The sequence below is a fragment of the Homo sapiens genome, chromosome 16 (genome assembly GCF_000001405.40).
Source record: "Homo sapiens chromosome 16, GRCh38.p14 Primary Assembly".
Taxonomy (NCBI): Eukaryota; Metazoa; Chordata; class Mammalia; order Primates; family Hominidae; genus Homo; species Homo sapiens.
The window spans coordinates 67,033,459-67,055,375 of NC_000016.10; the positions used below are offsets into that span (position 1 = coordinate 67,033,459).

Here is a 21,917-nt window from a genome sequence, read left to right on the forward strand (position 1 = left end):
TACAGGCGCCTGCCACCACGCCTGGCTGGTTTTTGTATTTTTAGTAGAGATGGGTTTCACCATGTTGGCCAGGCTGGTCTCCAACTGCTGGCCTCAAGTGATGTGCCTGCCTCAGTGAGCCACTGCACCCAGCCTTGATTTATTCTTATCAATTCTTTTTTTTTTTTTTTTGAGACGGAGTCTTGCTCTGTCGCCCAGGCTGGAGTGCAGTGGCACGATCTCGGCTCACTGCAAGCTCCGCCTCCTGGGTTCACGCCATTCTCCCGCTTCAGCCTCCCGAGTAACTGGGACTACAGTCGCCTGCCACCACACCCGGCTAATTTGTTTTTGTATTTTTAGTAGAGACAGAGTTTCACCGTTGTTTTTTTTTTTTTTTTTTTTGAGACGGCGTCTTGCACTGTCGGCTAGGCTGGAGTGCAATGGCACGATCTTGGCTCTCGGCTCACTGCAACCTCTGCCTCCTGGGTTCACACGATTCTCCTGCCTCAGCCTCCCGAGTAGCTAGGATTACAGGCGCACACCACCACACCCGGCTAATTTTTTGTATTTTTAGTAGAGGTGGGGTTTCACTATATTGGCCAGACTGGTGTTAAACTTCTGACTTCGTGATCTGCCTGTGTTGGCCTCCCAAAGTGCTGGGATTACAGGCTTGAGCCACTGCACCCGGCCTATTCTTACCAATTCTTATGTAGTTAAGAATGTTGGAGACGTCTTCAACACTAATAATCAAATAAAGAAAAAATATTTATAAGAAGTATGGTTACTCTGTGGTGAGAAGAGTAAAAACTAATACATATTTCTAATTCTAAAGATTGAATGGTAAAAAGTATGTTGGATTGGCACAAGGTGTGCTATTTTATAATTTGTGAAACCTACAAAGCATAAGACAACCTGGAAATCTTAAATATAGGCGTCATACTAGTGTAGCATTTTAATGTTTTCATTTTGTTTATTTTCGTCTTTATTTTCCTATGACGATGTTGACACCATATTAATATTTTGGAACAGACTTTTTCCAACTCTTACCTATATGTAGGTATTTCATTAAAAGAATTCCATGGTCACATAAGTTTGGAAAATGTTATTCTAGAATGATCTGTGTTTACCACTTCTGTCTCAGAGAGGGATCTTTATGAGATAATGGACATATAGTGATGAAGCAGGAAATCTCTTCTGAGGTTGGCATCAAGACAGGAGATGAGGTAATACGATCTGCAGAGTGTCTTAGCACAGAACTGATTTGGGGTACACTGGAGGTGGAAGGATTTGCTACTACGTGAATACTGAAGAAACAAGCCACAGGGATTTTGACACGGGGCAGTCGTTCATGGGCTGTGTCTTTTCTGCCACCACTCTGCTCTGAGAATTTCATTATCTGAAGCTGAAAAAGTTGGCTTTCTTGTTGAGCTTAAAGTTATTTATCATATTATTCAGCAGACACTTTCATAGCATTTACTTGGTACTGTTTTAAGCACTTTACAAATAATTGATTTGTGAGAAAACTGAATTATGCTTCAGGTCGTACAGCCTGGGCAGTTTCCCTCCCAGAAACTTTTTTTTTTTTTAACTAGTGTTGGGGGGTTTTTTGTTAAGATTTATGCTCGTAGTACATGGGAAGTTTTTTTTGTTTTTTGTTTTTGTGATGGAGTCTCGCCTTGTTGTCCAGGCTGGAGCACAGTGGTGCAATCTCGGCTGACTGCATGCAACCTCTGCCTCCCAGGTTCAAGTGATTCTCCTGCCTCATCCTCCCAAGTAGCTGGGATTACAGGCGTCTGCCACCATGCCCAGCTAATTTTTTGTATTTTTAGTAGAGACAGGGTTTCACCATGTTGGCCAGGCTGGTCTTGTACTCCTGACCTCAGATGGTCTACCTGCCTTGCCTCCCAAAGGGCTGGGATTACGAGTGTGAACCACTGCTCCTGGCCTGAAAGATTTTTTAAAATGATGTTGTAATATTGATGTTAGTTCAGTTTCTATGGATATAAAACATTTACCACATGAAAATGGTACCCCAGTTGATTAGGGAAATGCCATCAGAGAGGTTTAGAGATTTAGCATTTAGGTTGACAAGTGTACCGACAGTGCCAGTAATAGAAATAGGAAGTATAATTTTTACCTCTAAAGAATCTAAGCTGTTAACCATCAGGGGAACTATTGGATAGCTAACTTGGTTGATGGCTTTAAACAAATTGCCCCAAATGTGAACCTCTTGATTTGAGATGAAGACTCTATGCATGGAAACCAATTATGCTTCAGAACTTAATTAGTAGAATAAACCAAACAAAAAACTTTTTCTGGTTTCAGCAAAGAAGAGTTTACATTTAGATGATGAAAAATGTATTTTTTCAAAAATGCTTTTACTTCTTTTTTTCTTAATTTCCTTTGGGAAAGGGGTAATGTCTTTGTTTTTTGCCTGAGGGAAATATAGAGGTAACTTGCTCAAGGCCTACATAAAATGACACTTTATTGAAGTGGTTTTAGATTGTTGCATCTGTTGAGCTCTAACATCCAAATCTTTTATATTTATAAATCTAATCTATAAATATTTATTAGATGAATACTTTTCTCTTTGTTGTAGTCAGACCAAGTTCTCCTAAAGTCAAATGTGAGAAAAGACATATTTTTAAAAATCATCTAGGGTTTTAGAGAGTACTGTCACATCCCATGCCAATGTATGGTTTATCAGAGGAGAGACAATTCCAAGTGCATTTTTTATGTACTGCCTGCTATGCAGTGTTTCAGCAAGGGAAATCAAGGAAAATTAAAGTGTCTCATTTATACAATTTTAAATTGTGGTATTCTTTAAAATTCAAAATCTTTAGATTTTGAGTGATTTTTACATTTAAAAATAGAAGTTTTTAAATGCAGAGATGGATAGTGGCTTCTGGTTAGACATTAGCAGTGTGAGATCCTAACGTCAGCAAAAAATGACCTGAAAGAAAGTATTGATTCCATGTCTGATTTTATACTTAAGCAGCCAATGGCAAATGTCCTCAAAATGGAATCAGATGTTTGTAACTTAATACTTAAGAAAAATGATGAGTGCATGTTTTTTTTTACTTTTAAGTATTCTCTGTGCTGCCTGGCTTAAGACATAAACTGATGTAAAAATAAATGACTGCTTGCATAATTTATGTAATGTCCTGCTCCTGATCCTGTTTGTATTGATTTTTCTAAAAGGCTTTTGTGGCCACAGGAACCAATCTGTCTCTCCAGTTTTTTCCGGCCAGCTGGCAGGGAGAACAGCGACAAACACCTAGCCGAGAGTATGTCGACTTAGAAAGAGAAGCAGGCAAGGTAGGAAACATTTCTTTGCAATTTAAAATACTGTGGGTTGTTTTGTTAGAGATTATCTGGTAATTTACATTTTAATAAAGATCACAGATCTGATTATACCAGCATATGCTCAGATTTGTTTTCATTCCATGTTATAAGGATGTAATATAATTTTTTTTTTTTAATGGCGTTTCGCTCTTGTTGCCCAGGCTGGAGTGCAGTGGCGTGATGTTGGTTCACTGCAATCTCCGCCTTCCAGTTTCAAGCGATTCTCCTGCCTCAGCCTCCTGAGTAGCTGGGATTACAGGTACCCGCCACCACATCTGACTAATTTTTGTATTTTTAGTGGAGATGGGGTTTCACCATGTTGGCCAGGCTGGTCTCGAACTCCTGACCTTGTGATCCGCCCACCTCTGCCTCCCAAAGTGTTGGGATTACAGGCGTGAGCCACTGTGCCCGGCCAATATAATTTTTTAAAACCACTGTTAAACTTTTGTATCACTCCATTCCTAATTTCATGTACATAATATTTGTCATAGAACATTCTAACCCTTAAGGAAAGTAACATAACAATTTCTTTAAAAGTTTGAGGAGATATATTTTGTTTACAAAAATATATGTAAGTATAGTGCTATAAAAATAAAACAAGAGGAAAACGGAAAAAAGCTCTCTAGGTTTAAAAATTAATAGTATTTAGAAATAGCTCATAGGTAACTTTCTAATTCCATTAACAGCAAATTTACATTTGAGAAAAACAATGTGAAAACTTTAACTTGGAAATACTTTTTTTTTGTTTTGAGAAAAAGTTTCTGGGAACATGTCTTACAGTTTCGATGTTAGAAGTTTAGGTTAAAGATACAAAAATATAGGTAAAATGTTTAAGCTGAGAGCCTTATTTCAGGTCTACGTTAAATGTATTATGATTTTGGTAATTTTTTTTTTTTTTTTTTTGAGATGGAGTCTCCCTCTGTTGCCCAGGCTGGAGTGCAGTGGTGTGATCTTGGCTCACAGCAACCTCCACCTCCTGGGTTTTAAGCTATTCTCCTGCCTCAGCCTCCTGAGTAGCTGGGATTACAGGTGTGCGCCACCACGCCTGGCTAATTTTTTTGTATTTTTAGTAGAGACAGGGTTTCCCCATATTGGTCAGGCTGGTCTTGAACTCCTGACCATGTGATCCACCTGCCTCTGCCTCCCAAAGTGGTGGGATTATAGGAGTGAGCTACTGCACCTGGCCTGGTAAATTTTAATGAATAGCATCTTGGATTGGTTGATTCTTGATTGAGAAGTCAAGGAGTTGACTTCTAGAATAAAATTTTTAAAGAAGAAACCCTCTTTTAAATATAGTTTTATACTCAAAACACCCTTTTGGATCCAGTTTCATACTTTTTTTGTGTGTGTTTGTTTTGCAGTGTGTTTTTGTACCCGTTTCTATCAACTTACTAAATTAATTTTCTAAGTGTCATCATGAATAGCATAACCTGCCACATTTATGTAAAATGTGAGAAATGTCTAAATATTCCTTTGAGAAATATTTAATTTAATCTTGTGTGTATATATATATATACACGTATATATGTGTATATATACGTATATGTGTGTGTATATATGTATATATGTGTGTGTATATACGTATATGTGTGTATGTATATACATATATATGTATATATAAAATGAATTTTTTGTTTTCTCCAATTCTGTAGAATTAGATTTGATCTTTTGTGCGTGACAAAACAATCTTTGGATTAGAAAAGGGAAAACAGATTATAAGATTTAAAAAAATGAGTACTAAGCAAGCAGTTTGCTTTCCTGTGTATTAGCTTGTTTGCTTGGAAAATTAAAAGTGAATGTTCCAGATTTTACTATTTGGTAATTCTTACACAATATATAAGGAAGAATTTGAGAAGTCCTTGTACGATTATTGGTTTTTTTGTGCTTCTGGTGCGTGTATGTGTGACTAAATGAAGAAATTATTTTTTTTCTTGTTTGAATACTTCCTTAAAGTTTGTTTAACATGGTAGCTCAGATACTAAAGACGTAAACCAAAAAAAAAAAAAATTTGTTTTTTGTCAGCTTTAGCCCAAAACTATTTTAAGACTTCAAGGGCAACATCTCAGTGTTACTGAAGTCTTCCGGTATTTAATAACTAGTAAATGGGTTGTTAACTCTACCAGAAATTAAGTTTGCTTGAATTAATTTAATGATACTGCTTCACTAGTGTGAAGACCACATAATCCTTGGACTTAAACCATTGAGATGTTTTTAGTTATATGACCAAAAATAACAAAAATGTGAGATGGTTTATTCTAGTACAGTCATGTGTCACTTAATGGTAGGGATATGTTCTGGGAAATGTGTTGCTGGGTGATTTTTATCATTGTGTATATATAGAGTGTACTTACACAGATCTAGATGGTATAGCCTACTACACACTTAGGCTATCTGGTATAGTCTGTTGCTCCTAGGCTACAAACCTGTACTGTACAGCATGTTACCGTACTGAATACTGTAGTCAACTGTAACACAATTTGGTAAGTATTTGTGTATCTTGATGTATCTAAACATAGAAAAGATATGGTAAAAATACAGTATTTAAAAAATGGTATACCTGTATAGGGCACTTACTTTGAATGGAGCTTGCAGGACTGGAAGTTGCTCTGGGTCAGTCAGTTGAGTAAGTGGTGAATGAATGTGATTCTGTAGATTATATAAACATAGTATGCTTAGGCCGCACTAAATCTATAAAAATTAAGCAATTGCACTGCAATGTTAAAATGGCTATGATGTCACTAGGCAATAGGAATTTTTCAGATTCATTATAATCTTACAAGACCACTGTCATATATGTGATCCATTTTAGGCTGTAACGTTGTTAAAGCAATACATGAATGTATTAAAAAGATATGTTTTTAATTCTATTAGGAAGAGTGATAGAACTATGCAGGCTATCAGGAAATGTACATTTTATTAATACTGGTTTTAGAAGTTTTTTTTTCTGTGAAGGGACAAATGTAAATGTTTTCAGTTTTGCAGGCTTTCAGTCTCTGTCACAACTACTCATCTCTGTAACTCTGCTGTTGTGGTGTGAAAGGGACCCTAGACAATATGTAAACAATTGAGTGTGGCTGTGTTCCATAAATGGTGACACTGGTAGAAATCAGTATCTTTCCCTCAGATGTAAATCTGTAAATGTTTATGCATAGGTCATGTATTTCTCAGATAGAATTTTGTCAACATCTGTACTACTTCTGTACTACTTTTTTTCTAGAAGAAAAAAAAGCATTTTAAGGCAAAAACTCGTACTGTACTGTTCCGTGCCACTGTAATAAAGTTCTCCAGTGAATTTAGAGAAAAGGCATTGCCCTGTGTTTTCTCATCCGTGGAGCTCAGACTGTGGGGTCTCGAATTTCTTTTCTCTTTTTATGGTCTGTTTTATTATAACCATTAGGTTTTGTTTCTGTCCCCACAGGACTAGGACTGGAAGCAAAGAAAATTGAAGGAACTTCTCCAAATGTTAATTATTTGCCTCTGTTCCTTATATTGGATTCCAAATCAGTGTCTTCTTCCATATTCTCTCAACTGAGTTACCTTCTGAAGCAGCTTAGTTCTCGTCCTGTTCATACGCAGTTTTGAGGAACTATAGTTGTAAAGGCTTTAGAGTTAGGCAAAATTGAGTTAAGTTCTGGCTTCTGCATTTACTACAGTGTAACTTTGGGCATGTTGTTTAATCATTGTAATCCTTAGTTGTAGAATGAGATTAATGGGTACTTCCCAGGGTTGCTGTTGAGAGTAACTGAAATAGTGTATGTAAAGTGTTTTGACCACTACTGTACCTGTCACAGTTATCAAAAAATTTATTCATTCAGAAGGTCTTTGTTGAACACCTGTTACGTGTACTGAGCATTGTCCTAGGTATTTGAGATACATCAGTGAACAGAGATCCTTAACAGACAATATACATAATAAGTTATGTAATAGCTTACAAAGTGACAGTACCTTTGGGAAAAAGGAAAGGTATTATAGGATAAAGATGATCAATGAACAGGAAGTTTGCAGTTTTAAATTGAGTGGTCTGGGTAAGGAAGATCATACCTGAACCAAGACACAAAGGAGGTTAGGGAATGATGAGCCCTGCAGGGGTTGGGGGTGGAGGAGAGATGTTCCGGACAAAGGAAACAGCCATTATAAAGGGCCCCAGAGTGGCACCCTGTTTTTGATCAACAGCAAGCAGGCCATTGTGGCTGGAGTAGACTGTGAAAGAAGTTGTAGTAGATGAAATCAGAAATAACAATGAGCCAGTTCATGTGACCATGGTAGGCCATTGTAACCACATGGGCTTTTTATTCTGAGTGAGATGGGGAATAGTTTTGAGTGTTTAGTTTGCTTATATTTTAGGGACAGGGTCTTGGTATGTTGCCCAGGGTGACTCAAACTCCTGGACTCAAGTTATGCTCTTGGTCAGCTTCCGAAGTAGCTGGGAGTAAAGGCATGCTCCTGCACCTAGCTCAGGCTTTTGAGCAGATGAATGATATTATCTACGTTAGGTTTTGACAGACTCATGCTAGCTGCTAGGTTAATAATAGGTTATAGGGGGCAAAAGTGAAGCAGGCTATTGCAGTAATCTTGGTGAGAGACCAGGGTGGTAGCAGTAGAGGTAGTGAGAAATGGTCATATCCTGGATGTATTTTGAGATAGAGCCAATAGGATTTGCTTATGGATTAGATATGGCGTGTGAGAAAGAGAAGAATAAAGAATGACTCTAACTTAGGCTGAGGCAGGAGAATTGCTTGAACCCGGGAAGGGGAGGTTGCAGTGAGCTGAGATCGTGCCACTGCACTCCAGCCTGGGCAACAAGAGTGAAACTCCATCTCAAAAAAAAAAGAATGACTCCAACTTTTTGGCTAGAGAAACTGGGACTATGGGGTTACTGTCATCGGGATGGGAAAACTGGCTGGAACAATTTTGAACAGCAGGTTAGGTTGGTTTAGCGCATGTGAGGTTGTGGTGGGAGCTTGTTATTGCAGCTTGTTTCTTTACTTTTTTTTTTTTTTTTTTTTTTAAGAGAGAGGGTCTCACTCTGTCACCCAGGCTGGAGTGCAGTGGTGCAATCATAGTTCACTGTAACCTCAAACCTCAAACTCCTAGGCTCAAGAGATCCTCCTGCCCTTCTTTTTTTTTTTTTTTTTACCCCTGACAAAACAAGGTCTTATTCTGTTGCCAGGCTGGAGTACAGTGGCGCCGTCATGGCTCACTGCAGCCTCAATGTCCCAAGCTCAGGTGATCTTCCCACCTCAGCCTCCTGTGTAGCTGGGACCACAGCATCTCACCTGTAACCCCAGCACCACCATGCCTGAAGTTATTTTTGTATTTTTTGTGGAGATGGGGTTCTGTTATATTGCCTAGGTTGGTCTCGACCTCCTGACCTCAAGTGATCCTCCTGCCTTGGCCTCCCAAAGTGCTGGGATTACAGGCATGAGCCACCACGCCCAGGCTTTTTAAAAAATCATTTGTTTCTAAGTGTTTCATTATTTTTTCTGCCTCTGTCTCTTGACTGACTAGGACGACAGATATTTGCCACCACATCTGGCTAATTTTAAATTTTTTTGAAGAGAAAAAAATTTTGCTCAGGCTGGCCTCTAACTCCTGGCCTTAAGCAATCCTCCCACCTTGGCCTCCCAAAGTACTGGAATTACAGGCATGGGACACTGCATCCAGCCTGAGTTTTAACAAATGTATGCACCCATGTAGATGCTACCACAGTCAAGATATATTTCAGTCACCCCCCCAAAGGTTTCCTTGTGCCCCTTTGCAGGAACCTGGGACTGACTGCACTGGGTGGTTCTGCCTCAGTGTCTCTCATGAGGTTGCAGTCAAGCTTTTGCCTGGGACTGTGCAGTCTCTGAAGACTTGACTAGAACTGAAGGATCTGCCTGTTGGTAGGTGGCTTCACTTCCTAGTCATGCTTCTCCATAGAGAGAAAAAGAGTGAAGCCACCATGCCTTTTATTTATTTATTTATTTATTTGAGACGGGGTCTTGCTCTGTCATCCAGGCTGGAGTGCAGTGGCGTAATCTCAGCTCTACAACCTCTGCCTGCCGGGTTCAAGCAATTCTCCTTCCTCAGCCTCTCAAGTAGCTGGGATTACAGGCACATGCCACCACATGTGGCTAATTTTTGTACTTTTAGTAGAGACAGGGTTTCACCATGTTGGCCAGGCTGGTCTCAAACTCCTAACATCAGGTGATCTGCCTGCCTCAGCCTCCCAAAGTGCTGGGATTACAGGTGTGAGCCACTGCGCCTGGTCCACCATGCCTTTTATGATCCATTCTTCAAGTCACTTTCATACCTTTTATGATCTATTATTTGAGTCACTTGTTGCTTAGCCTGTTCATTAGAAGCTGGTCACTAAGTCTAGCCCACATTCAACAGGGAGGGAGGGATTACACAGGGGTGTGAATACCAGGAGGCTGGGATCATTGAGGCCATCTTGGAGGCCAGCTACAATAATACTCACTTAAATTTAGCGAACTCAGAAAAAATTAGAATCCTAATAGAGCGGAAACAAAAAGCTCTATATTCTCTATTATTTGAAATACAGTTTTATGATTTAAGAAAATGGGCTCATAGAAATTAGTCCTTTTATTCATTCTGTTGCTTATGTGGCTATAGAATATTTTCAAATCAAGGGCTTCTATAAGGAAGGTCTGTTAACGGGTGACTGATTATAAGTATATACCTTACATATGACCAAGTCAGAGCACAGAATTTTATAATCCTTCAAATATATTTGAAACTTTTATACCCAGGTACCTGGTGAGCTGTCTACATTGGCTCTTAATAAGGATCTTTCTCAGAAATGATTTAAACTAATAACAGTATAATAGAAAGAGCTCTAGATTTGAGTCAAGACAGTCATAACTATTTTCCTTAACATGTAAATGAGGATCAGAATGTCTGCCCTATTCATGTGCCTCATGTGAGAATTAAATGTAGTACCAGAATATGTGAAAATGCCTTTTAAATTGTAAACCCCTGTCTACAGTTAGGCAATTTGATGGTTCTGTAGGGTGAGATTATAGCTAACTGATTGATAGAGTGTTTGTGCTACAGTGTGCCTTAGGTAAGCTTCACGTCAGGTAGTTGAACAATGTTGGAACACTACATCTTTCCCAAGTGTTCCATCCTGGTGTGTTACAAACACTGGCAGCCAAAATGTTCTTAATTCTTTAATCTAGCTGTCAAAAGACAAGGGAAAAGCAACTAATCAGAATTTAAATCATTCTTAAGTTAAAATTGTGTAGACCAGGCAACTCCAGTTCCTTTGATCTTTCCTCTTAGGACTTATTTCCAATTACTTTTATTTCAAATAAATGCAAGTGATTATGGTTGACCATAAATTATTAGTCTTGAGTGGTCAGATTAATGGTTTTTACATGTATTCTGTGTCTCATAAAGCTTCATTGGGATTTTGAAATAATGATTGGATGTACTTACTTTGCGATCCCAGTTTATGACTTTAAAGATAAGGGGTATGAAAATCATTTCATAAAAGGAAAAAAATGAACTTTACAGTGCTACTGTTCATTTTTTTCTGTGGAAATTGAATATGCTATCTCGTTTTTACCACATTGACCTCAGAAAAAGAGAGGTTAAACTTTTCTATGGTTGTTACATTCTTGTTTATAGCTTATGATTTTAATTGATAGTCAAATACATTAATGTCAGACATCGAGAAGTATTTATTAAGTATATGTCATTAGAGTAGCTACTTTTAAAAATTTTGATAAGTTGTATTTTTTTTCTTTCTGGACTTTATACTTAAAAGTCTTTTAATTTATTTTTATGAGCATAAAATAAAGCAAAATCTAACAAGATTGGATTTAATGAGTGAGGACAGAATTTTATTTTAAATGGCCTTTTCTAATAAAGGTCTATGATTCTGCTTCTTCTGGTACCATTTACGCACTTGCCTGCAGGATCTTTGTCCCAAAATACATATTGTGTTTGTTTATATACCATCCACAATTTGGCAGAGTTTACAGGACTTCTTGATGTTAGCTTTGAGAAATCCCTATTTAAGCTCAAGAAGTTCCTTCTCTGTAGATAGCCCAGTCATTCCAAATAAAAGATCTCTATGGTAAAGCTTTGGAGTGTGATTTTCTTCAAGAGAAATTAGACAACTTTACAAATACCTTGTCACATCTGGATTTTAAGTATTTCAGTTCGACTAAAATATGAATTGACAGCACTTAGTTATTGACAGTTTAGTGTATTGAAATCTGGTTTTTAAAAATATGCTTTAGATAAACTATAATACTCTAATAATAACGGAATCATAAAATTTAGAACTGGTAACTGCAAGCTTATATATATATATATATTTGACACCTTTGTAGCTGGCAGAGCGTTTGTATTTTTAAAGAAAAGTTTTTATTTTAGTTATTTTAGTTATTTTTCAATCTAAGAGAGGAAGTCGACTTTCTGAAAAAATTAAAATGTTTTGGCTAGGTGGGGTGGTTCATGCCTGTAATCCCAGCACTTTGGGAGGCCGAGGCAGGTGGATCACCTGAGGTCAGGAGTTCGAGACCAGACTGGCCAACGTGATGAAACCCCACCTCTACTAAAAATACAAAAAATTAGCCAGGTATGCTGGCATGTGCCTGTAATCCCAGCTACTTGGGAGACTGAGGCAGGAGAATTGCTTGAACCCGGGAGGCGGAGGTTGCAGTGGGCTGAGATTGTACCACAACACTCCAGCCTGGGCAACAGAGCAAGACTCTGTCTGAAAAAAAAAAAATTAAAATGTTTTAAAATTAGTATGTCATAGTACCTTCCAGTTAGAGTACGTGAATCTGCATACATGGTAAATGCACCTCTGAAGCACTTGAAGATTGTGAAGTCCCGTTTTCTCTTCTTTTGGATTGCATTATTTCCATTTTAGTGTAAAGGTGAAATTCTCTTTCATGACCTTTCCTGAATTACATATTCCAAGTGAGAGAAGGCAGAAATAATATGTCTGAGAAGAGCATCCTTCACTCTTCCCCTCCTTCCTTCTACTTTCTACATTTTTTTTTTTTTTTTTGAGACAGTGTCTTGCTCTGTCATCCAGGCTGGAGTGCAGTGATGTAATCTTGGCTCACTGCAACCTCCGCCTCCCAGGTTCAAGCGATTCTCCTGCCTCAGCCTCCCAAGTAGCTGGGATTACAGGCACCCGCCACCACACCTGGCTAATTTTTGTGTTTTTATTGGAGATGGGGTTTCACCATTTTGGCCAGGCTGGTCTCAAACTCCTGACCTCAGGTGATCCGCCTGTCTTGGCCTCCCAAAGTGTTGGGATTATAGGCGCTCTGAGCCACTGTGCCTGGCCTTTTTTGTTGTTGTTTGTTTGTTTTTGAAACTAGATATCTCTCTGTCACCCAGGCTGGAGTGCAGTGGTGTGATCTTGGCTTACTGCAACCTCTGCCTCCTGGGCTCAAGCGATCCTCCCACCTCAGCCTCCCAAGTAGCTGGAACCACAGGCACGCGCCACCATGCCCAGGTAATTTTTTTGTAGATATGGGGGTCTCACCATGTTGCCCAGGCTGGTCTCAAACTCCTGGACTCAAGCAATCCTCTCGCCTTGGCCTCTCAAAGTGCTGGGATTACAGGCATGTACCCATCATTTTTTTTTAATGGTTAATTCAAATGCTGCCAGGATAAAGACTATTGAAATGTTGTTGTCTGAAGATGTTAATTTCTTTGTAGCACTGCTATGCCCTAGTTTTACTATTTCCCATTTTCACTTGTAGTTTTTCAATCAGCATTATTGAGGTATAATTTACATGTAGTACAGTTCACCTATTTTAAGTGTACAAGTCTGTGACAACTGTGTATTCAGTAGTATAACCACCACCAAAGTTCACCATTGCTTCAAAAAGTTCCCTCATGCCCCCTTGCAGGTAGTGTTCTAATTGATGCAGACATACATGCACTGATACTTTTGTGATCCTCATCTTACAGGGAAGAAAACGTTTGTAATTTCTTTTTAACAGCATAAAAATGCTGTTTACCTTCAGGTGCAGAGACTTTGTTTCTTCAATATTATTCTTTGATGCTTAGTTTTGTACAGAGGATTGGAAGCTACAGACAAGCTAAAGTATAATAGTGATATGGTAGACTTTAATTATTGTTCCTTTTTTTATGAAAGTATGCACGTGAACAGTTGGAAAGTATTATCTGTTATAAGCTTTTCAGTTTAAGCTGGGCCTCCTCAAATTGATGTGTGTTTAGGAACTAAGAATTTTAAATAACATTTGAAGGGCCGGGCGCAGTAGCTCATACCTGTAATCCCAGCACTTTAGGAGGCCAAGGCAGGCAGATCACAAGGTCAGGAGTTCAAGACCAGCTTGGCCAACATAGTGAAACCCCGTCTCTACTAAAAAAAAAAAAAAATTAGCCAGGCATAAGCTGAGATCATGCCACTGCACTGTAGCCTGGGCAACACAGCAAGACTCTGTCTCAATAAATAAATACCATTTGAAATGTCTTCAATGCCATGTGTGGAAACTATTTAAAAAAATAAAACGTGCCTCTTGGCAGTATTGCTGTGCTTTCAGGACTCTAATGCAGGCTGTACCTAAGAGGGAAAGGGCTGAGTCTGGGGATGGTTGGCAGGTTGTTTTTGTGGATGAAAAACCTTTTACCCATGTATGCAGTCAGTACTGAGCCTTTTTGTGTTTTAAAACTTCAGATGTAAAGACAGGTTAATCTTCAGATTAAAACAAAAGGATGGCCTAGAAACTTGTGACTTCGACATTTACATTAGAAGAATGTAGATGTTTTCAAATAAACAAATCTGCCCATATCATAGATGTTCAAAGTTTGTTCCATATAATAACAATGATAGTTTCTAATAATCGTGTGGCCCTGTTTGCAGAACAGTGTTCTAAGTAATGAGCCATTTGGGAGAACCCTTTAAATTTTTTTTTTAGGATATTTATTCACACCAGCTTTTTAGTCCTGAGTTTCTATCCATCCCTTTGCTATCCAGAACATTTCTTGGCCATTTTTTTACTGGGTCAGGTGCCGTGGCTCGTGCCTTTGGTCCCAGTGCTCTGGAAGGCCAGGGCGGGTGGATCGCCTGGGGTTAGGAGTTCAAGACTAGCGTGGCCAGCATGGTGAAGCCCCGTCTCTACTAGGAATGCAAAAATTGGCTGGGCATGGTGGTGGGTGCCTCTGGTCCCAGCTGCTCGGGAGGCTAAGGCAGGAGAATCACTTGAACCTGGGAGGCAGAGGGTGCAGTGAGCCAAGATCGCGCCACTGCACTCCAGCCTGGGAACAAAATTCCATCTCAAAAAAAATAAAAATAAAAATGCAGAAATTGGTCAGGCGTGGTGTCGCATGCCTCTGGTTCCAGCTACTTGAGAGAGGCTGGGGTGGGAGAGTTGCTTGGGCCTGGGAGGCAAAGGTTGCAGTGAGCAGAGATCGCACCACGGCACTCCAGCCTGGGTGACAGAGCAAGGCTCCATCTCCAAACAAACAAATAACAAAAAAAACCCCTAAAACATTTTTTATTTTCCTTAAATGTATTGGCCAAGGTTAAAATATCCATCCTGAATATTCTGTATGAAAACATTGGATATGAAGAAAAAAAGAAAATTCAGGCAGTTGACCAGGGGAGAGAATTGAGCTTTTTGGTTCTTCCTGACACATATTCTCAGTGAGACTATACTCACTTTTTTAAAAGCTATTTATAAAATATTAAAATAAGATATTACATGAAGTTAAAAATTGAAACGAAAGTCAGCATCTTAATTCACCAATTACACAACTGAATGGTGTTTTTTGTTTGTTTGTTTGAGACAGAGTCTCGCTCTGTTGTCGAGGCTGGAGTGCAGTGGCATGATCTCAGCTCACTGCAAGCTCTGCCTCCCGGGTTCATGCCATTCTACTGCCTCAGCCTCCCGAGTAGCTGGGACTACAGGAGCCCGCCACCACGCCTGGCTAATTTTTTTGTATTTTTTTAGTAGAGACGGGTTTTCACCATGTTAGCCAGGATGGTCTCGATCTCTTGACCTTGTGAGCCACCGTGTCTAGCCTTTTTTTTTTTTTTCTTTTTTTTTTTTTTGAGATGGAGTTTCACTCTTGTTGTCCAGACTGGAGTGCAATGGCGCCATCTCAGCTCACCACGACCTCCACCTCCCGGGTTCATGCAATTCCCTACCTCAGCCTCCCGAGTAGCTGGGATTACAGGCATGTGCCACCATGCTTGGCTAATTTTTTGTATTTTTAGTAGAGACAGGGTTTCTCCATGTTGGTCAGGCTAGTTTTGAACTCCTCATCTCAGGTGATCTACCCACCTCGGCCTCATAAAGTGCTGGGATTACAGGTGTGAGCCACCGCGCCTGGCCACTGAGTGGTTTTTAATATATTCACAACCATCACCATTATGTAATTTGTGAGTATTTCAGAACTCTGAACCATTTTATTTATTTTTTATTTATTTACTTATTTTGAGACAGAGTCTCTTGTCTGCCAGGCTGGAGTGCAGTGGCGCAATCTCGGCACACTGCAACCTCCGCCTCCCGGATTCAAGCTATTCTCCTGCCTCAGCCTCCTGAGTAGCTGGGATTACAGGAGCCTGCCACCACACCCGGCTGATTTTTGTACTTTTAGTAGAGACGGTTTCACCATGTTGGCCAGGCTGGTCTCGAACTCCTGACCTCAGGTGATCTGCCCACCTTGGCCTCCCAAAGTGCTGGTATTATAAGCGTGAGCCACCGCGCCCGGCCCCATTCTGTTTATTTTTGAGACAGACTCTGTCTCCCAAGCTGGAATGCAATGGCACAACCATGGCTCACTGCAGCTTCAACCTCCCAGGCTCAAGCGATTCTTCCACCTCACTGGGACTGTAGGCACATGCCACCGCACCAGCTGTTTTTTTTTGTTTTACTTTTTGTAGAGATGGGGTCTCACTATGTTGCTTAGGGTGGTCTCGAACTCCTGGCTGGGTTCAAGTGATCCTTCCACTTTGGCCTCCCATGAACCATTTTAAATGCTTTTTGAGAACTGCAAAGCAGTTTTTATGGTGATCACTACCACCGGACACTGTGCTAGATGGTTTACATTATCACTAATTCTCCTAATACTGCACTGTATAGAAGAACTGTTTAATTTTAGAACATATCTGGTGATAGCTTGATTTTACAGCTGAGGAAACTGAGGCCAGGAGGCTAAGTTAACCTTCAAAAGTCGTATTATCTGTTTCCTGGTACAGCCAGGACCCAGACCCACTTATTTTTTACCCCTAAGTCTGTTCTTTGCATACTACACTACTGCTAATAAGTAATCATTAGGTAAGTTGATGCAAACTCCACATACCACCTTCCAAAGCCTTATTTAGAGTTATTTTGGTCCACCAAGTTACTCTACTGATATATATATATCATAAATATATCATATATAAATTATATGTGATATATATAATATATGTTATATATATAATTTATATATCACATATTTATATGTAATATATATCACATAAATTATATATAATATATAAATATATAATATATAAATTATATGTCAATATATATAGCATTATGTTCTAAGACACACACATATATATGTATATATAACGTTCTAAGACTTTCAGGGATTCCTGTACTGTTGATAGTACCAAATCCTATATATGTGCTGTTTTTTTCCTATACAGATATACATATATACGTATGATAAAGTTTAGTTTATAAATTAGGCACAGTAAGAGATTAACAACCTTAACTAATAATAAAGTAGAACGTGGCCGGGCAAGGCTGCTCACAGCTATAATCTCAATGTTTTGGGAGACCAAGGCAGGAGGATTGCTTGAGTCCAGGAGTTTGAGACCAGCCTGGGCAATATGAGACCCTGTCTGTACAAAAAAGTTTAAAAATTAGCCGGGTATGGTGGCATGCACCTGTAGTCCTAGCTATTTGGGAGGCTGAGGTGGGAGAATTGCTTGAACCTAGGAGTTTGAGCCTACAGTGAACTATGATTGAGCCATGACACTCTAGCCTGGGCAATAGAGCAAAACCCTGTCTCCAAAAAACTAAAAGTTTAAAAAAATAAAGTGGAACACTAATAACAATATACAGTAATCAATGTAAAATTAAGGTTATTTGAACATAAGCACTGCCATACTGCAGCAGGATGGCCACTAAGTAACTAATGGACACATTCCTTATAAAACATGGATGTGCTGGACAAAGAGATGATTCACCTCTCTGGAGAGAAGGAGTGCAATTTAAAACTTATGAATTGTTTATTTCTGGAATTTTTCATATAATATTTTTGGACCGTGATTGACTGTGAGTAACTGAAATCATGGAGAGCAAAACTGTGGCTAAGCGGGGACTACTGTACTTGATGCATTTTCCTTTTAGGAATTCTTTTAAGTTATTTTTCATTTGTTAGATGTGTCTTACAAAGAATAGATAAAAACATGTACATTTTAGGAATAATAATAAAAGGAACATAGGTATAGTAGGACTGATGTTCCGTATGGTAGCTATTATACAATCCACATGTGGCTGTTGAACACTTATAATGTCGCTAGTGTGAATTCACATGTGATGTGTGAAAAAACACAAACCAGATTTTGAAACCTGGTATGAAAAACAAAAATAATGTAATGTATTTATATGGATCCAAAATGTAATATATATATGGATCCAAATATATGTATATATATCCAAAATATATATCCAAAATAATGTAATATATTGCTATATATATATATGTACACACACACATACATATATGGATCCAGTTTTATACTCATTATTTTTTCTGGGTTTGTTTCACAGTGTGTTTTTGTATGTATTTCTATCAACTTAACTAAATTAGTTTTCTAAGTGTCATCATGAATAGCATAACCTGCCACGTTTATGTAAAACGTGAGAAATGTCTAAATGACCAACATATATAGGTAAAATGTTTAAGCTGAGAGCCTTATTTCAAGTCTACGTTAAATGTATTATATGATTTTGGTGTTTTTTTTGTGTTTTTTTTTTTCTGAGTTGGAGTCTCGCTCTGTTGCCCAGGCTGGAGCGCAGTGGCGTGATCTTGGCTCACTGCAACCTCCACCTTCTGGGTTTTAAGCTATTCTCCTGCCTCAGCCTCCTGAGTAGCTGGGATTACAGGCATATATATATATGTGTATACACACACACACACACACACACACACACACACGCATACATATATATAGCAATAGGAATATATATATATATTTTGAGACAAGTTCTGGCTCTGTCACCCAAGCTGGAGTGCCGTGACACGATCTCAGCTCTCTGCAACCTCTGTCTCCCAGGCTCAAGCCCTCCTCCCATGTTGCCCAGGCTGGTCTCGAACTTGTGAGCTCAAGTGATCCACCTGCCTCAGCCTCCCGCAGTGCTGGGATTGCAGGCGTGAGCCACTGTGCCTGACCCAAGATATTGCTTGCTTGATACCATGTTGAAAATTTTAGATGTTTTGAGTTAAGTAACATTATTAAAATTAATTTCACCTCTTTTTACTTTTTAAAAAATACCTACTAGGCCGAGTGCAGTTACTCATGCCTGTAATCCTAGCACTTTGGGAGGCCAAGGTGGGAAGATTGCATGAAGCCAGGAGTCCGAGACCAGCCTGGTCAACATAGTGAGACCCCATCCTTAAAAAATAAAAACATTTTTTAAGTGACTGGGCATAGTGGGGTGTGCCTGTAGTCCTAGCTCCTGGAGAGGCTGAAGTGGGAGGTTTGCTTGAGCCCAGGAGTTCAAGGCTGTAGTGAGCTGTGATGGTGCCACTGCAATCCAACCTGGGTGAAGGAGGGAGACCCTGTCTCTTAAAAAAAAAAAAATGCCTGCTAGACAATTTACAGTTACATATGTGGCTTGCATTTGTGATTCACATTATATATTTCTGTTGAACAGTACTGCCTGCACAGTTGGCCAGGTATGGTGGCTCACACCTATAATTGCAGCACTTTCAGAGGTTAAGGAGGGAGGATTACTTGAGCCCAGGAGTTACAGACCAGCCCGGGCAACAAAGTGAGACCCCATCTCTACAAAAAAATAAAATAATTAGCCAGGTGTCGTGATACAGGCCTGTAGTCCCAGCTACTTGGGAGGCTGAGGCAGGAGGATCCCTTGAGTCCTGGAAATCAAGGTTGCAGTGAGCTGTGTTCATACCACAGAGCAAGATGCTATCTCAAAATGAGTCCTGGAAATCAAGGCTGCAGTGAGCCGTGTTCATACCACAGAGCAAGATGCTATCTCAAAAAAAAAAAAAAGAAAAAAAGAGAAAGAAAACTTTACAGTTCTTTTCCTCAACCCGTCTCCCCCCACAAAATAATCACTATCCTGATTGATGTATTTGTTCCCTTACTTTTCTTTGTCATTTTATTTCCTGTGCATATATCTCTAAATAACGCATTGTTTAGTTTTTAAAAAAAATGAAACTAGGAAGCACACACTTCAGGGCAGTGTAAACAACGGACTCTAATGTCACTTTCTCTCTTTTTTTTTTTTTTTTTTTTTGGTGAGAGGAGTCTTGCTCTGTCACCCAGGTTGGAGTGCAGTGGTGCGATCTCGGCTCACTGCAAGCTCCGCCTCCTGGGTTCACGCCATTCTCCTGCCTCAGCCTCCCGAGTAGCTGGGACTACGGGCCCCCTCACCACCACACCTGGCTAATTTTTTGTATTTTTAGTAGAGATGGGGTGTCACTGTGTTAGCCAGGCTGGTCTCGATCTCCTGACCTTGTGATCCACACTCTTCGGCCTCCCAAAGTGCTGGGATTACAAGCGTGAGCCACCGCACCCAGCCTTCTAATGTCACTTTCAGATGCAGCTCCTAGAAGATGAGCTGAACAGAATCTTAGGGTCAAGTCCGGATTCAGCTTCCCTGTGAATTTTTAGAGCCTCCCTGGGGAAGCTTGTGAGCACAGTCATGAGTGGATTATGGGAAACCTAGGGCTCACACTGGAGTTAGGGCATCTGGCACACTGAAACCATTGCTCACCGTGTGCCGGAGATGTGGAGGAATATGGTCAGAGGGAGTTAGCTGCTCTGGTATTTTCTGCTTCTAGGCTCACCATGACCTACCTTCTTTTATCCTTTTTTTTTTTTTTTAATTTCTTTTGTCAAAATTGATGTCTCATTCCAGAGCTACCTTCTTTTCACAGGAGTGAGTCAAAGCACATCACCTTTGTCAGCTCAAATGAGTGTCCTTAGCTGGTCCCAGCAGTGGGGAAGGCTTATATATGAGCATTTTGCCCTCAGGATCTTGGTGATGACCATCCTCAGAATGTCCATCTCTTCAATCTAGACTGATTGTCCTCTATATCCAGCGCACTGCTTTCATACTGATTTCTGTGTTCATCCTCTGCTGTGAGGGGCTTTTTTGTTTTTTTCTTTTTGTTTCTTTTTCAGTTTTTCTGTCTTCCTGTTTCTTGGTTTACGGTCTCTTTGTGGATAACAGAGTTGTTGCATATTTGAAGTGTCTTTATTCTACGATACTTTATTGTAAGTTTGTCTTGTTCTAGAGTTTGAGGTTAGAGATTATTTTCGTTAAGAAGGCCTTGTTTCATTGTCTTGGTTTAAATGTTGCAGTTGAAAATCTCTGAAGTCATTGTGTTTCCTGATCTGTTTGTGACCAATTTCCCCGTCTTTGGAAGTTTGTAAAATCTTTGTCTCCATGTTTTGGTATTTATCTATGATGTAACCTAGTGTCGGTCCACAGTCATTCCTTGTGCAGGGTACTTGCCAGCCCTTTACAGTATGGCAGCTGTGTCCTTCGTAAGGAAATTTTCTTATATTAATTGATGACTTCCTTTCTTATATTTTTTCTATTCTTTTCTGGAACATCTACTATTTGGATGTTAGACCCACAGGAATGATCCTGTTACCTTATTTTCTTACTGTCTCTTTTGTCTTTTTGGTCTACCTTCCAGAAGATTTCCTCTACTTTATCTTCAGAGTCTTATATTGGGTCTTAATTTCTACTATATTTCAACAGAGCTTTTTGTTTGTTTGTTTGTTTTGAGACGGAGTCTCGCTCTGTCGCCCAGGCTGGAGTGCAGTGGTGCGATCTCGCCTCACTGCAAGCTCCGCCTCCCGGGTTCACGCCATTCTCCTGCCTCAGCCTCCCACGCGTAGCTGGGACTAGAGGTGCCCACCACCACGCCTGGCTAATTTTTTGTATTTTTTTTTTTTTTTTTAGTAGAGACAGGGTTTCACCAAGAGCTCTTTTTTGTGTGTGCTACAAATGTTCCTTTTTTGTTAGTATCCTCTTCTTGTTTATCGGGTACATTTTATCTGAGAATCTAGCTGGTAGATTTTTACTGCTTTACATCACTTCAGAGGAAATGGCTGCAACTGAAGGGTGAAAGTCAGAATTTATCTTGGCTCAGCTTTTCATGTAAGAAAAGAAAAATACAGTGAAACCAAATTAAAATAATTATGTGGAGAGCATATTGGTGGCAAGTTAATACATTTTTATGACTTTTTGGAGGGTCTAATTTATTCTTAACAGAAGTCTGAGTTTAGTATCCATTTATTGAATATGTATTTATATGTGTATACGCACACACACACAGTGTATTAAATCTATTGAATTCCAGACACTTTCTTTTTTTTTTTTTTTTTT

The 21,917-nt window shown here is 39.5% G+C and overlaps 1 protein-coding gene across 6 annotated transcripts in view; it reads left to right on the plus strand.

Annotated features, from left to right (window-relative positions):
• The window catches only part of CBFB (core-binding factor subunit beta), a 71,910-nt gene that overhangs the window by 4,310 nt on the left and 45,683 nt on the right, over positions 1 to 21,917 (plus strand). For 4 of the 6 annotated variants that reach the window (NM_001755.3, NM_022845.3, NM_001368710.1 and 1 more), the window contains exon 3: positions 3,181 to 3,297. The exons of the other annotated variants lie outside the window; for them this stretch is intronic. In NM_001755.3, the coding sequence (NP_001746.1) occupies positions 3,181 to 3,297 (117 nt within the window). The remainder of the gene's footprint in view (positions 1 to 3,180; positions 3,298 to 21,917) is intronic. 6 annotated transcript variants of the gene reach the window in all.